Here is a 15,049-nt window from a genome sequence, read left to right as displayed (position 1 = left end):
AGAACATTTTAGAATCAGAAGACCTACTGCTGTTTGCACCTTAAAAAACTAAATAAATTAAGACATTTACAGACAGAATGGAGAAGCAAATCTGAGAGTCATCACTTAGTTCTTAAGACTTCTGACTGGGAGTATTAGGTTCATTATTATAATATATCAGTTTAATGAGACAATAGCTAATATGATAATGTGTGGGAAATCAGATCACTATGTTAGTGTTCTTCATTGTTCATACTACAAAATAACTTACTAGGCATGTACTTTAAAATTTTGTCTTTACTATAGTGATTCCATATCCTCTCAGAGTAACTTTTTTTCTGGTGAAAGCTACTTTTAATTTAAAATTTCAATTGCCCATATTAATGCAGAGTTGATTGCTTTTAAAGAAAAGTGGCTTGCTCATTGCTTAATAAGGCAAGATTCAGCACTGTACTCCCCCACTCCTAGCTTTCTCAACTCTCCCAACCGAGTTAATAACTACAACAAATTACAAGCACAAATTATTAACACTTAAAAGAGCATGCCCTACAGTTTTCTATACTTAATATGATACAAAAATGTGGGGTTAATGGCTGCATTATTAACAGTTATAGTCTCAACATATTCAGTTTAGAGGTAATGCAAAACTGTTTTATCTGCATACAAACAATAATTGAGAAGAGGCCTAAAGGCAAAAAAAAAAAAAAAAAGATGAATTTTTTTTTCTTTTTCCTCAGAAAAAGCTCTTGGATACCTGTGTATTTTAGTTGTTTTAAATGTTTGTAAATATAGTGGTTTGCAAGGAAATTGGGCATGTTTTCTAATAGAAAGAAAGAGTTAAAGGATGCGGTATTGTACTTTTCCTTAATGATTTCCCAAAAAGCTAAGAGAAAGAATAAATTACATGCCAAGAGCCTTTTTGGGCAGTGTGCTTGATGTAACAAAATTCCCGTGATTAGACTAAAATACCATTTTTTTTCTTTTTTCCGGCTACTTTGTAAGGCAATGGCAATCTGCTTTATATAATAGAAACTTCTTAAGACATATTTGAGAACAGGATCATCCAAACACTAATCTAATGCAAAAACAGAAAACAAAACCTTTCCTATATATATACATATATATATATACACATATATATATACATATATATATACACATATATATATACATATATATACACATATATATATACATATATATACACATATATATACATATATATATACACATATATATATACATATGTATGTATATACATAGTACAATTCAGCATCCTTTAACTCTTTCTTTCCATTAGAAAACAAATATACATATATATATATATATATATATATTTGGAGTATTTTGGAAGTAGCTTGGGATTTGGTGGAACAAATTTGGGATCTTTTAAAAAGGTCTGAATTCAAAATGTTTGTATGACTTGTAAACCATTAAAATAATTCACGGCATGTGTCTGGTTAGGTGGAAACATAAATTTGTATTCATGACTTCTAGGAAATATTTTAAGGAGGATTATTGACAAATTTTAGCACAGCCAATGTTCAGAAACGTTCAAAGAAACATCGCTGTATCTGTTAATATTTTCATTTTCTTTTACTCCACAAAGAACTGGACTGAGATCACCAGCTTATTTTTACAGGCCTAAAAACTACATATAGCTTTGTTTGCCATATTATGTGTATACCTGAATTCATATGCAAAAGTAACCATGTTTCAAGTGAATTAGCCTGTTAGTAAAAGGACCACCAGAGGATGTCCATAGCCTTCATTTGAGGTATACAATTTGAATCAGCATTTGAAAAATATATTTGTATATACTCATGGAATGAACAATTTAAATTCATGTGATTTCAAATTTATAAAAGTGACCTTGCTTTGGCATTATTAAATTTTCATTAAAATTATACTCTTTTAAACCCCACAATTTTACCAATGAAATATTTTAAGGATAAGTTTTGTTACTGATTTTATTTAAGAAAAAAAAACACAAAGCAAACTGATTTCTGTTCTTGAAACAGGTTCTTTATAGTTTTAGTTTGGGTAAATTCTGCATGTAAGTTTAGTATGTAATTAAAGGATAAGTAAAAATGGAGGAAAAAGACACATCTATAAAGCTCTGTTGGTATGTACTTCAGAACTGTACTTACCATGGAAGAGCAATTATTTTGCAAAATTTTATGATATCTCAATTGCTGAGGAATCATAAATAATATTTCTTTATTTTGGCAGAAGATTAACAATAAATGTTTAGGAATCATTTAAAACTTAGAATATAAATTAAACACTATATCTGAAAAGAATCTCGCTAATCTTTTTCTAATGAAATTATTACTCATAATGGAATAACATTTTTAAGGACAACTTAAAAAATCCCCTGAATTAAAACTGTGTCTATCTTATCTAAAGGAGGAGGTAAAAAATTAGAAAAAGAGAAGAGAGTCACAAAGTGAAAAGAATCAAACCACCATTGAGAAAAGCCAAAAGTAGTTACTATAAAGTATTAATCATCAATTTTATGATTTCTGATCCAAATTAAATGCTATGCTCATTTATATTTTTAAGAATTGTTGTCTTAATATTTTATTGCTTTAGGTCATGGTCACTTCTTTTATGACCTGAAGTACATGTGTCAGTAATATCAACCAATTGGCACCTATCCTCTTTTAGGTAGAAAAAAAATGACTATTATATTGTAATACTTTGTTCTCTCTCTCCTCCTCTTTCTATTTTTTTGTTTTTTGTTTTCGTTTTTGGATGGTTGGTGATTTGTTTGCTTCTCCGGGTTCCTGTTGATCAGTGGTGTTTGGCCAGTTTGTATTTTTCCAGACATCACTCCACGATGTTGTTGAGGTGTATGATGGGCCAACTCAGCAATCTTCTCTGTTATCTTCCCTCTCAGGATCCCATTCAGGTATCCTTTAATAGAACTGCCATGCATCAGTTACTGATTAAAGACTGACTTTGATTAGTATTGTAGTGAAAGTTGAGATTTATATCATCAATATAAGAAATAAAGCAAACTGAAAATAGTGTCACCTTTTTTTTTTCTAAAGAATAGAAACAAAATTAACTCAGAAGGTTGAGAAAAATACAACCAACTATTCTCTGGGATTGTAACCAAGTAAATAATATATTTAATCACTTAGTCTCTGGTGTTTAATGTAATATAAAATATTTAAGAATTCTTTGAAGAATGAGGCAATATGTATAAAAATGTAATTAAAGCTTTCTGAGAAAAAGATTGCAATACAAGTTGAACCCAAAGGAAATATATTGGTAGTTGTAGGATATTTTAAAGTAATTTGATAGAACATAGATTGACATTTTCAAATGACAGTGTAAGATTATAATATAATTTGTTAGGTTTACTGAATGAAAATTATTTATGATATCTTAGTGTTTGTTTTGTTGAGTAGGAGAATCACTTCCACTGAGTTCAGGTAATCAGATCACAATTCGATTTACTTCAGTTGGACCAATAACAGCTAAGGGATTTCACTTTGTTTACCAAGGTAAGTGACCCTGTAGTCTAGAAACACACTAAGGAATGATATAATTTTCCCATGATGTATTCAGAGTTTTTGAATGATGAAATCCTCTAGATAAAAGTGTTTTTAAGCAGTTTTATTTTGTCCCCTCCACCATCACTAGATCACTGTCACCTTGACCAAAGTAAACAAAATCTATTGCTTCCATCATCATTCTCAGTTTAAATGTCTGATTTTCCTTCCTTCCCACATATTATTTTCAAAACATCTACTTTTTTTTCCTGACAATCCTTTACTATCTACATTTTCTATTTTCTAACAGTCTAGCACTCTAGACTATTTAGTCTAATTTAGTTTAGCACTCGAAATTAAAGATATAAAAATTTTGGTGCTGATGTACTTAAACATGCCAAGGAAATCAGTGTTCCATTCTAAAATTATAGTTTCTCATTCTCTCAGGAGAATTAAAACTTTCTTCAGTTATTAGGACTTTTGTGCAATTAGAAGTTTGTTTACACATTTTATTTCTTGCCTGTGGTAGACAACCTTCTACGTTATCATTAAACCAAGTTAAGAGCCATTATTTGAAATATTGTCTTTGAAATATATATGGTCATATAGTAGTTAATCTCAAATGTATCTTGCACTTTATTACTAAGAAATGTATAAACATTTGTGATTTGTTATTCCTATTAAACCTTCTTACCCCATTTATCAGTTGACTATAATCCTGTACTCTTTTATGTTAAGTAGTACTTCCCCCTGGAAACAATGTGTGGTATTACGACTGCAAAAAGGCACTATAATGAATGGAATTATATTTACTCAAGTCGCATAAGAAGAATTAATCTATTTAGAATTCATCATATCATTTTTTGGGCTATTGTCAATCTCTTTAATCACATTTGTTATGTGTTTTAAAAAGAAAAAACATCCTGTTATCATTCTATTTTACTAAACCAAAAAAAAGGCACAATTAAAGGGCATACCTATAAAATCTAAAAGCAATTTCAAATCTGATATTGTATGATTATTAAAGTAAAAACTTTTATTGTTGTTAATCTGTCTGACATATATTCTACCTAGTCCAAATGTAGTTATCTTTCTCAATAGCAAATGTGTTTGAAATTAAGTTTGTGAAATTTTATGAAACTAATAAAGTACTGTTTGCCTTTATAAAATCTGTTTTTAATTAAGAACCAAATACTGAAAAAAATGTAAAATTATTTGATATAACCTGACACATATTTTTTGAACTTGGTATTCTAAGTTTAAAAAGAAAAAAAACTTTCAGTTTTCATCCCACAAATTACAAAAATATCTAACTAAAACTATTTTGTAATATTAATGAGTTCGGTAAAACAAAAATCGTTGATGTTTAAAGAATCAAAAGTAAAACTTTTCTAATAAAAAACCTTGATGACAATAACAATATTTATTTTAAATTATATTTTATTCTGTCTGAAATTTAAAACTTTAAGAATGTATTCAAATTGTTAATTCAAGTTCTGATAAAAAGTGATGATTTCTCAAAAATGTGTTTAAACAGTTACATTTTGAAATCTGTATTTGTCTACCATATAAAATTAAAATAAATATAATATTTCTACACAGCTGTTCCTAGAACAAGTTCTACACAATGCAGTTCTGTGCCTGAACCAAGATTCGGAAGAAGAATTGGCAATGAATTTGCAGTCGGTTCATCGGTTCTTTTTGATTGTAATCCAGGATATATTCTCCATGGATCCATAGCAATTAGGTGTGAAACAGTGCCCAATTCTTTGGCCCAGTGGAATGATTCCTTACCTACTTGTATTGGTGAGTATATAAATTTGTATGATCTGTGATTATACATAGTTTATATAAAAATTGGTTACATCTTTCAATTTTTTAAATTTCAGATCTAATAATTATGTACTTAATTTTAAATAATTTAATAAGTATGCTTTATATAAATATGAAAAATCAGTGGAGATTTGTTGCAATTGTCTTGGTGATGAAATCAATAAAAAAATTTGTGTTGAATTAGCTAAATAATTTCCTCATTTACTGATTTATATGGATTTATGTGGATGTAAGTAAATATATATATTTCCAGGAACATAGAATCTGCTGCTACTAATGTGGGATTATGAAGGACTACTATCCTTTTATTTTATTTTTTTAATTGTTGTGGGTACACAGTAGGTGTATATATTAATGGAGTACATGAGATTTTTTTTACAAGCAGGCAATGTGAAATAAGCACATTATGAAGAATGGGATATCCATCTCCTCTAGTTTTTATTCATTGTGTTGCGACAATCCAATTATACTCTTTAAGTTATTTCCAAATGTACAGTTAAGTTGTTATTGACTGTAGTCACACTGTTGTGCTATCAAATGGCAGATCTTATACACTCTGTGTTTTTGTCCACTACAGTTCTCAGACTCTGGTAGTCATCCTTTGAAATAAATATTATTTTTTATTTTTAAAAGTTTGTGCAAAGATTTCTGGGCCAATATGTAAAGAATTCAGAGATCTTTTAAGAATCCAAAAGCTGACTTTTCTGGAAATATTTTGCTTGGTCATCAAAAGAATTAGAAAATATGAATTAATTTTTTCTTACTCTATTAGTTACAGATATGTATAAAAATATAAAATTATAAATTTTTTCAGTCTTTCACAAATATTGGTGGTAACATTTTGAATGAGTAAAATGCATAAGGTTAGCCAAAAATCTTATTGTTTCGAAGTTGTTTTTGCAATAGTATATCTAACTTGCATTGGTAAATAGAATGTATACTATCTAAAATTATGGATATCTTAATAGTTTAGAATTTTATAGTATTTCAGGGTAATTATAATGACGCTTGGCTTTTGTAGAGTTCCATAGACATAGAAAATATAGAAAGTAGGGAAATTACTCTCTTTTCTGCCCGAAGAACATATCTGGGAATTTTTATTATTTTTTAAATTACATAATATTAAATTCAAAAAAGAGTGGTAAGACTTAATCTCAGGTTATAAAATAATTCTAATGACTTGAGTTGTTTCTCATTAAAGTTATATTAGTATGTGATGTTAAAAATAAGATATGTGTATATATATATGTATATATATATATATATATATATATATATATATGGGGGTTTTTTTTTTTTTTTTTTTTTTTTTTGAGAGAGAGTCTTGCTGTGTCGCTCAGGCTGGAAGGCCGTGGCATGATTACAGCTCCCTTGCAACTTCCGCCTCCCAGGTTAAAGCCTCCTGCCTCAGCATAGAGAGTAGCTGGGATTACAGGCGTGCACTACCATGCCCAGCTAATTTTTGTATTTTTACAAAATACAAAAGGGACCAGGTCTCACCATGTTGTCTAGGCTGGTATCAAACTCCTAGCCTCAAGTAATCCACCCCCCTCGGCCTCCCAGAATGCTGGGATTACAGGTGTGATCTACCGCACCCAGCTGAAAATAATACTTTTTAAAATAAAAGATAAGCAAAATTTTTGTTTTATTTTTGTTTTAATTTTAATAATCTTAATAGTCCACTCTCCATAGGGAGGAATGAGTGTGTATATTGACACATAATAGACAATCATAAATATATAAAATTACTTTTTAATAACACATTTTGCCATATGAAAATAAATTATATTTGCCATTCTTATTTTTACCTTTTTAAAATACATTTGTTCACATGTCAGTTCATAGGTCATTAGAATAAAAAATAATTTTAAATTATGAAATAACATAGAAGGTACATTCATTTCTACTGAGAAGAGATCAAAGATAAATCTGTTGATATGCATTCACAGGATATGTAATTTTTTTTTTTTTTATGGAGTCTCACCCTGTCACTCAGGCTGGAGTGCAATGGCATGATCTTGGCTCACTCAACCTTGCCTCCCAGGTTCAAGTGATTCTCCTGCCTCAGCCTCCCAAGTATCTGGGATTACAGGCACCCACCACCATGCTCGGCTAATTTTTTCTATCTTTTAGTAGAGACGGGGTTTCACCATGTTGGTCAGGCTGGTCTTGAACTCCTGACATCGTGATCCACCCGCCTCGGCCTCCCAAAGTGCTGGGATTATAGGTGCGAGCCACCGCACCCAGCCAGGTTATGTAATTTTTATAGAATATATTTGCTTTAAGTAAAATATATTTTTTTTACCATTTAAATCAGGACATTGTCAACAATTGTGCTAGGATAATGGTATAAACTAGGCTCTCACAAATAACTAGGAAGGATGGTTGGTCATTTGATTTCTCTAGGAATTTGATATCGCCACTCCCACCCCAACCCCAAAAATATACCTAGCATATTTCACAGTGCATTTTTTTCTTAAAACAAATATTTTATTTTTTCCGTGACAATAGATGGAATCTGAACTATTCTTGTATTATTCTGTTATTTGTTGAATGAACACTTACAAAAAATAATTTAAAACACTAGAAGACTGTAAATGACTCTCCAATTTTCTTATCTTTTAGCTAAATAACCACGATTTCTGATTTCTGATATTTATAATTTTCTTAATGCCACTGTTTGCCAATCCTATCGTCTGAATATTTATTCTCTCCCTCACCCCACCGCCCCCCAACAACACACACAGATTCTTATGTTGAAACCTAATCCCCCATGTGGGGGTATTAAGAAGTGGGGCCTTTGGAAGGTGACTAGGTCTCGGGGGCTCTACCCTCAGTAATGAGATTTGTGCCTTTATAAAAGAAGTCTGAGGAAGCATATTCAGCCTTCCACCATGTGAGGACACAGAGGCACTGTCTATGAAGCACCGAGCAAGCCCTCACCAAACACTACATCTGCTGGCACCTTGATCTTAGACTTCCCAATCTTTAGAACTCTAAGAAATACATTTCTGTTGTTGAAAACTTACCTAATCTATGGTATTTTGTTATAGCAGCCTGAATTGTCTAAAAGAGCCCGATTCCATGCTAAGTAATTTAAATACATATTTGTTGCAATCCTCTGACAAATCTATGGAACTGTTACTTTTGGAATGTACAGATGAATAAACTGAGTCTGAAAGAGGTAAAATAGTTCTCTTTAAAGTGGCAGAGCATAGTAAGGGTTAGAGTGGAGGCAGGATTTAAAACTAAGTTTTTCTACCTTTGAACCCTAAATTAATTGATAGATTACTGCTTCTCTTTATGTTCTGACTTATAAGCTATTTCCCAATTACATTTCTGCCTCATTTATTGTGCAGAATTGCTGACTCTATTAAAATACATTTTTGACAGTCCACAAATACAGGAGATAAATCAGCTGGACTTAATGTTCCGCCTATCTTGTGCCTACCAGAGAGCTGGGGTTAATATGGCAGAGAGATCCTCCCCTTAGGTACTTGCACTCTCATAAAGACAAAACAAATAATGTCCTCTTTTCTGAACCACAATACATACAACACAATACATTGACTTCATACTCATGAAATGTTATAAATAACATTTATAACATTCTGAACTAAAGGAATCATGAGCTAAAAGAAATGTTTCTATATGTCTGTGAAAATTAGTCATGCAATATGCATAAATTGGAAATTACATTGCTTGAAATCAGTTTAATAATTGAAGACAGACACATAATAATAACTCTCTTCAAAACTCACAGTAGATTTTTAAATCTTTTTCTGTAATTACTAAGAATCATTATTTCTGCCTCACTTTCCCCAGTAATTATTTACATAATTTCTGTGTCACTTTTAATATATTTATGTAGGTATTGACAGAAAATATCAATGCTGTAAAAATAGAAGGACTTAGATAAGTAGTTCTCTTCATTTAGTTTCATATAATCTACTGTAAAAACAGAGTAATATAATGACATGGAAATTCATAAACTAGTTCATTAATCTTTAAATATCATCAAAAACCCTTTTATTCCTTTAGTTAGAGTGTTCAAAGAACCTACATATGCCAAGAACTGAAATGTAAATGTATGAATTAATCCTTAAAGGTTCTGTTTGTATATCTATCATGTTAATGTGCTAATTAACGTGAAAGGTTGTAAAGAATTATGTAAAATTGAGTGAAATCATCAGAGCTGGGAATTGTACTAAATTATCAGCACAAGAGTCGTGGGTGAATGTCTTCGCTTTGTCCGCATGACTGAATTGAAGTGAGTTACAATAAGATCCTGGAAAATTTACATAATCTCTGATCTTCAAATCCCATACCAATAAAACAAGAAAATAAGAAAACTTCTTCATAGGTTCATTATGGCTAAATGACTAAAAGCCTTGGCTTAGTTCTTGGAACCTAATAAGCACTAAAGAAAATAGGTTGTTTTTGTTTTTGTCAAATAAGCCACCACAAAATCAAGAGAGAAGATTCCAATTCTAAAAGTATTCGATGCAGAATATAGGACTTAATATGCAGTACTGATCAAGTGTTTGATACTATTGATTTTAATTTGTTGACATTTTATTTTTAAAACAATTTAAAGTTATTATATGGAAAATGTGCCTTCCACAGAAGATTTTTGCATTTTGGAAAAGGCTGAAAGCATTGAGTACTGTCATTCTTTCCAACTCTAATTTAGGATTCCTTGAATGTTTGACTTCTATTTGCATTTAAAATTTATATGAAAGTTTAGGAAAAATGTGTTGATTTTATTGAAAATACTAGTAAATCTTTATTAAAATATACCATTTAGGAGGACAGTGAAATTTCCACCAATTAATGCATTCCAGGTCAAATGGTTGAGGAGTGTACTTAAAGAAATAGACATTTTGGTTTGTTTTCATTGTTGGCAAATTTTTTAACATAAAATAAAAACAAAGTTAAAATAATTATTACTACAATTTTAATAGGCCTTGCAAGTATATATTTAACCAATGTTTATGCTCTGCTTTTCTTCTTACCCTAAAAATTTAAACATCACATTATCCAAAGAAATAAATATTCTTATATCCATGAAGACATGCAGATGAGACAGAGTTAGAAAGAGGCAAGATATAGATGGGAGAAATGATCTGTCACATTAAACAGAGAGAGAAAAGGAAAAATTAAAAAAAAATAGCAAAATAGCAAGCGAAGAGAAGTGAGTGAAGAAAGTGAACATTTGAAGAGAATATTTGTGAAACATAGAATAGAGAATATGAGACTATAAATTTTATTTTGTTTTTATTTTTATTCTTTTTGAAATGGAGTCTTGCACTGTCACCCAGGCTAGAGTGCAGTGGTGCGATCTCCTGCAACCTCTGCCTCCTGAGTTCAAACAATCCTCCCACCTCAGCCTCCCAAGCAGCTAGGATTACAGGCATGCACTACCATGCCTGGCTAATTTTTTTGTATTTTTACTGGAGACAGGGTTTCACCTTATTGGCTAGGCTGGTCTTGAACTGCTGACCTTAGGTGATCTATCTGCCTCGGCCTCCCAAAGTACTGGGATTACAGGTGTGAGCCACCGGGCCTGGCCCAAGACTATAAATTTTAAACCATTAACCATTTGTGTCTGAAACTGAAGAGGGCCCCTATTCTACATGATTATTGCAAAGTGTTTTTGTATTTCAAATGTATCAATTGATTAATCCCAGCATTTTAGCCATCAAAAATAAAAATCTATATAAAAAGAGTAAGGTGATGCTATCCAACTAAGGATTTATCTTAGCAAGTACAGTAGCTAACACCAGGAACTAAAGCCTATGAAAGGCTTTAGGCTGTTACCTAGTCTATTACTGATATTCCACTTCAGGAGTGAATGCTAGTTTACTGTTCTCAACCTAGATTCAGCCAGAACTCACTTCCTACTTTTAGGGCAAAAGATGTGGGTACCCAGGAACCCACACCATCTCTCTGTCAGAGATCCAGCAGTCTGTATTTCCTGGGCTTTTTGAGAATCCTTACACTGCATCCATCAGGAGTCTTTAGATAAAGAACAGACTACTTTTGATTTTGCATTGATTCTTGCTATGGTTTAAATATTTGTTTTCCCCAATTTTTTATGTAAAAATTCTAACCCCTAAGGTGATTGTATTGGGAGGTGGGGCCATTAGGAGATGACCAATGGGATTAGTGTCCTCATAAAAGCAACACCAGGGATATTTTCACCTGTTCTACCATGTGAGGACACAGCAAGAAAATAGCTGTCTATGAACCAAGAAAAGGGCCCTCATCAGATACTGAATCTGCCAATGCTTTAGAAAACTTTGATTTCCCAGCCTTTACAACTATAAGAAATACATTTCTATTGTTTATAAGCCACCTAGTCTATGTTTTTTTGTTATAGTAGCCTGAACAGACTAAGATGGAAAATTGGTACCAGGAGTGGGGTGCTACTGTAACAAAAACCTAAATACGTGGCAGCAGCTTTGGAACTGGGTAACAGGTGTAGGCTGGAAGAGTTTGAGGTGCATGCTAGAAAAAGCCTACATTGTTGTGAAAGAACTGTAACGGGAAATTCTGATGAGGGCTCAGAAGAAAAGGAGGAAAGCTCTAGAGAAAGGCAACATCTTTTTACTAAAATATCTAAGTGGTTATGAACAGAATATTAGTAGAAATGTGGATAGTAAAGGTAATTCTGATGAATCCTTAGATGGAAATGAGGAACAAGTTGTTGAACAATAGAGGAAAGAATATTCTTGTTATAATGTGGCAAAGATTATGCCACTTTATAACAAAAGTGGCTGATTGTGTTCATGTTCTGGAGTTTTCTAGAAGGTAAAACTTTAAACAATGAAATTGAATATTTGGCTGAGAAAATATCTAAGCAAAGTGTTAATGGTTCAGCTTGGCTTCTCTTGACTGCCAATGATTTAAACATGGAATTGTTAATTGATTGGAAATCGGGACCAGGCACAGTGGCTCACAACTGTAATCCCAGTACTTTGGGAGGCCGAGCTGAGCAGATCACAAGGTCAGGAGTTCGAAGCCAGTCTGGCCAATGGGAAATCTGTCTCTACTAAAAATACAAAAATTAACTGGGTGTGGTGGCACACACCTATAGTCTTAACTACTCTGGAGGCCGAAGCAGGAGAATCGCTTGAACCCAGGAGGCAGAGGTTGCAGTGAGCCAAGAATACACCATTGCACTCCAGCCTGGCTGACAGAGCAAGACTCTGTCTAAAAAAAAAAAAAATTTGGAATCAAAACTTCTATATTTTAAAAACTTTCAACCTACCTGTATTGGGAAAATGGGAAGACCTATTCAAAAGAGAACTTTAAGAGTTTAGCCGAGGCGGGTGGATCACGTGAAGTCAAGAATTTGAGACCAGCCCTGGCCAGCGTGGTGAAACCTGGTCTCTACTAAAAATACAAAAATTAGCTGGGCGTGGTGGCACATGCCTGTAATTCCAGCTACTCAGGAGGCTGAGGCAGGAGAATTGATTGAACCTGGGAGGCAGAGGTTGCAGTGAGCCGAGATCGTACCACTGCACTCCAGCCCAGGCAACAGAGCGAGATTCTGTCTTAAAAAAAAAAAAAAGAGTTTAATCAAGTAACGTTTGATAAGAAGATTAGTATGAACTCACAATCTCAGTAGAAGCTAGAAGCTATTCATCAATACAATGAGAGCATTAGTTAGCCATCTAAACAGAAGCCAGGACCTATTGTCCAAAACAAAGGAAGAATGAACCTGAGTGCATTTTAGAGATCATCCAGGCTACCCATCCAGTCACAAGCCCATAGTGCAAGGGCCTTGGAGTCAGATTTCAAAGGAAGGGCCTTAAACCTCAGGCTCTGATTCATGCAGTCTGTCACACAGCTGCTTGGCTACATAGGGATAGTTCCTGTGGGTCTGGCTCACCATGCTCGGTACCCAATAAAGCTATGGAGATGTGGTTGCCTTTGTGTAGATTTCAAAGGGTGTCCTGGAAAGCCTCTCTGCCCAGGCAAAGAACTGCCATAGGGGTCATGTGGATAGCCCCACACCTTTAGCATTGCCTTGTGGAAAAATGTCCAGTGGAGCTACAGAGGTGGGGCCACCAATATGATCATGAAACAGTAGAGCCACTGGTGTGTGATGTTAGTCAGGGAGAACCACAGGCATGCAACTCTAACCTGTGAGAGCTGTAGTATGTATTATGCCCAGCAAACCTACAGAAGTAAGACTATAACCTCCAGTAGGTCCAGAATGTGGGACCTTCCCTGCAGCGTGTCTGGGTGGAGACCTCCAACCTGTGAGTCTAGGAGGTGAGACCATAGGCCCAGTGGGACTGAAGAACAGAGCATTGAATCAAAGAGATTCTTCTTGAATTTTAAGGTTTTGGTCCTGCTTAAGATCTGTTACCCCTTTCTTCTGCCCTGTTTTTCTTTTTTAAGAATGGAAATATCTGTCCCGTGCCTGTCTCATCATTGTGTTTTGAAAGTAGATAGTTTGTTTGATTTTACAGACTCATAGCCGGAGGTGAGTTTGCCTCAGGATGAATCATATCTTAAAGTGTCACCCATATGTGATTGACATGATATTTAGATGAGACTTTGAACATTAGACTTATGGTTGATGCTGGAACAAATTATAACTTGTGGGGCTATAGGGATGGAATGAATGTATTTTGCATGTGAGGACATTAATTTTGGGGGCCAGCAGCAGAATGCTGTAGTCTGAATGTTTGAATCCCCCAAATTCATATGTTAGAATCCTAACCCATAAGATGATAGTATTGGGGGCAGGGATTGGAAGGTAGTTATGAGGGCAGAGCTCTCATGAATGGGATTAATGCTCTTATGAAAGAGACCCCAGAGAGATCTCTAGCCAGTTTTACCATGTGAGGACACAGCCAGAAGACGGTCGTATATAATCCAGGAAAGGGGCCCTCAGCAGACATCAAATCTACCAGTGCTGACTTCCCAGCTTCCAGAACTGTGAGAAATAAATTTCTGTTGTTTATAAGCCACCCATTCTATGGTATTTTGCTATGGCCTGAATAGAATGAGGCAGTTTAAAAGTGCATATCCAGAGATAGAAAATTGTGTCATATGACTTGTATTTTCTGCCAAGATCACATGAAAAAGACATATTACCTTATACCGTTTTAAAAATATTCTTCCTTGTGGAACAGGTGTAAATCCATAAAGTTGACAATATGACAGATGGATATATGGGGTCTATGTGACAGAAGAAATAGAAAGGTGATGATTCTAAATGACATTCAGAAGATAGACAAGTTTAAGTTTTACCATTTGGTGCAACTACTAATCTTTACATAAATGAAAATATAGTTTGCATTTCTATTTTTAACTATAAATATTTTTAGCTTCAAAATGTTCTGAATAAAAATGGTCATGTCTTAAAATATTTTTAAGATAGAAAAAGCTCAGTGTCTTAAATATTCAAATGTGAGAGTCAAGTACAGAGCTATCTTACGTTAATATCAAAGTGTTCTCTTTAATTTGTGCTCCTTTTCAACCTCTGTTAACTGCATAAAACATCTGCCCCAAGGTCTTTGAATTTCTTATTTCCTCTGATTAGAACAGATAGCTTTTTATCTCACTACATCATTTCATTGAAGTCTCCTATTTTTCTTGGCCATCCTATCTAAAATAATTTTCTGCCACCCATCAACCGTTTACTCTTTATACCATTACCTTTACAGCAACCATCGAACTGTATTATGTATAATTTTTGGTTGTAAAACATTTCT

General features: G+C 33.3%; 1 protein-coding gene across 10 annotated transcripts in view; it reads left to right on the top strand.

The window, feature by feature from the left end:
- CSMD3 (CUB and Sushi multiple domains 3) overlaps nucleotides 1-15,049 on the top strand; it is a 1,214,012-nt gene that overhangs the window by 1,025,128 nt on the left and 173,835 nt on the right. For 7 of the 10 annotated variants that reach the window (XM_017013010.2, NM_052900.3, XM_011516816.3 and 4 more), the window contains 3 exons: nucleotides 2,780-2,893; nucleotides 3,399-3,494; nucleotides 5,085-5,288. In XM_017013010.2, the coding sequence (XP_016868499.1) occupies nucleotides 2,780-2,893; nucleotides 3,399-3,494; nucleotides 5,085-5,288 (414 nt within the window). The remainder of the gene's footprint in view (nucleotides 1-2,779; nucleotides 2,894-3,398; nucleotides 3,495-5,084; nucleotides 5,289-15,049) is intronic. The other 3 variants (NM_001363185.1, XM_047421314.1, XM_017013009.3) reach the window with 1 other exon arrangement.

The sequence above is a fragment of the Homo sapiens genome, chromosome 8, assembly GCF_000001405.40.
Source record: "Homo sapiens chromosome 8, GRCh38.p14 Primary Assembly".
In the NCBI taxonomy this organism is placed as follows: domain Eukaryota; kingdom Metazoa; phylum Chordata; class Mammalia; order Primates; family Hominidae; genus Homo; species Homo sapiens.
Note: the sequence above shows the minus strand (reverse complement) of the source record. Positions and strands in the feature narration are given on the sequence as shown.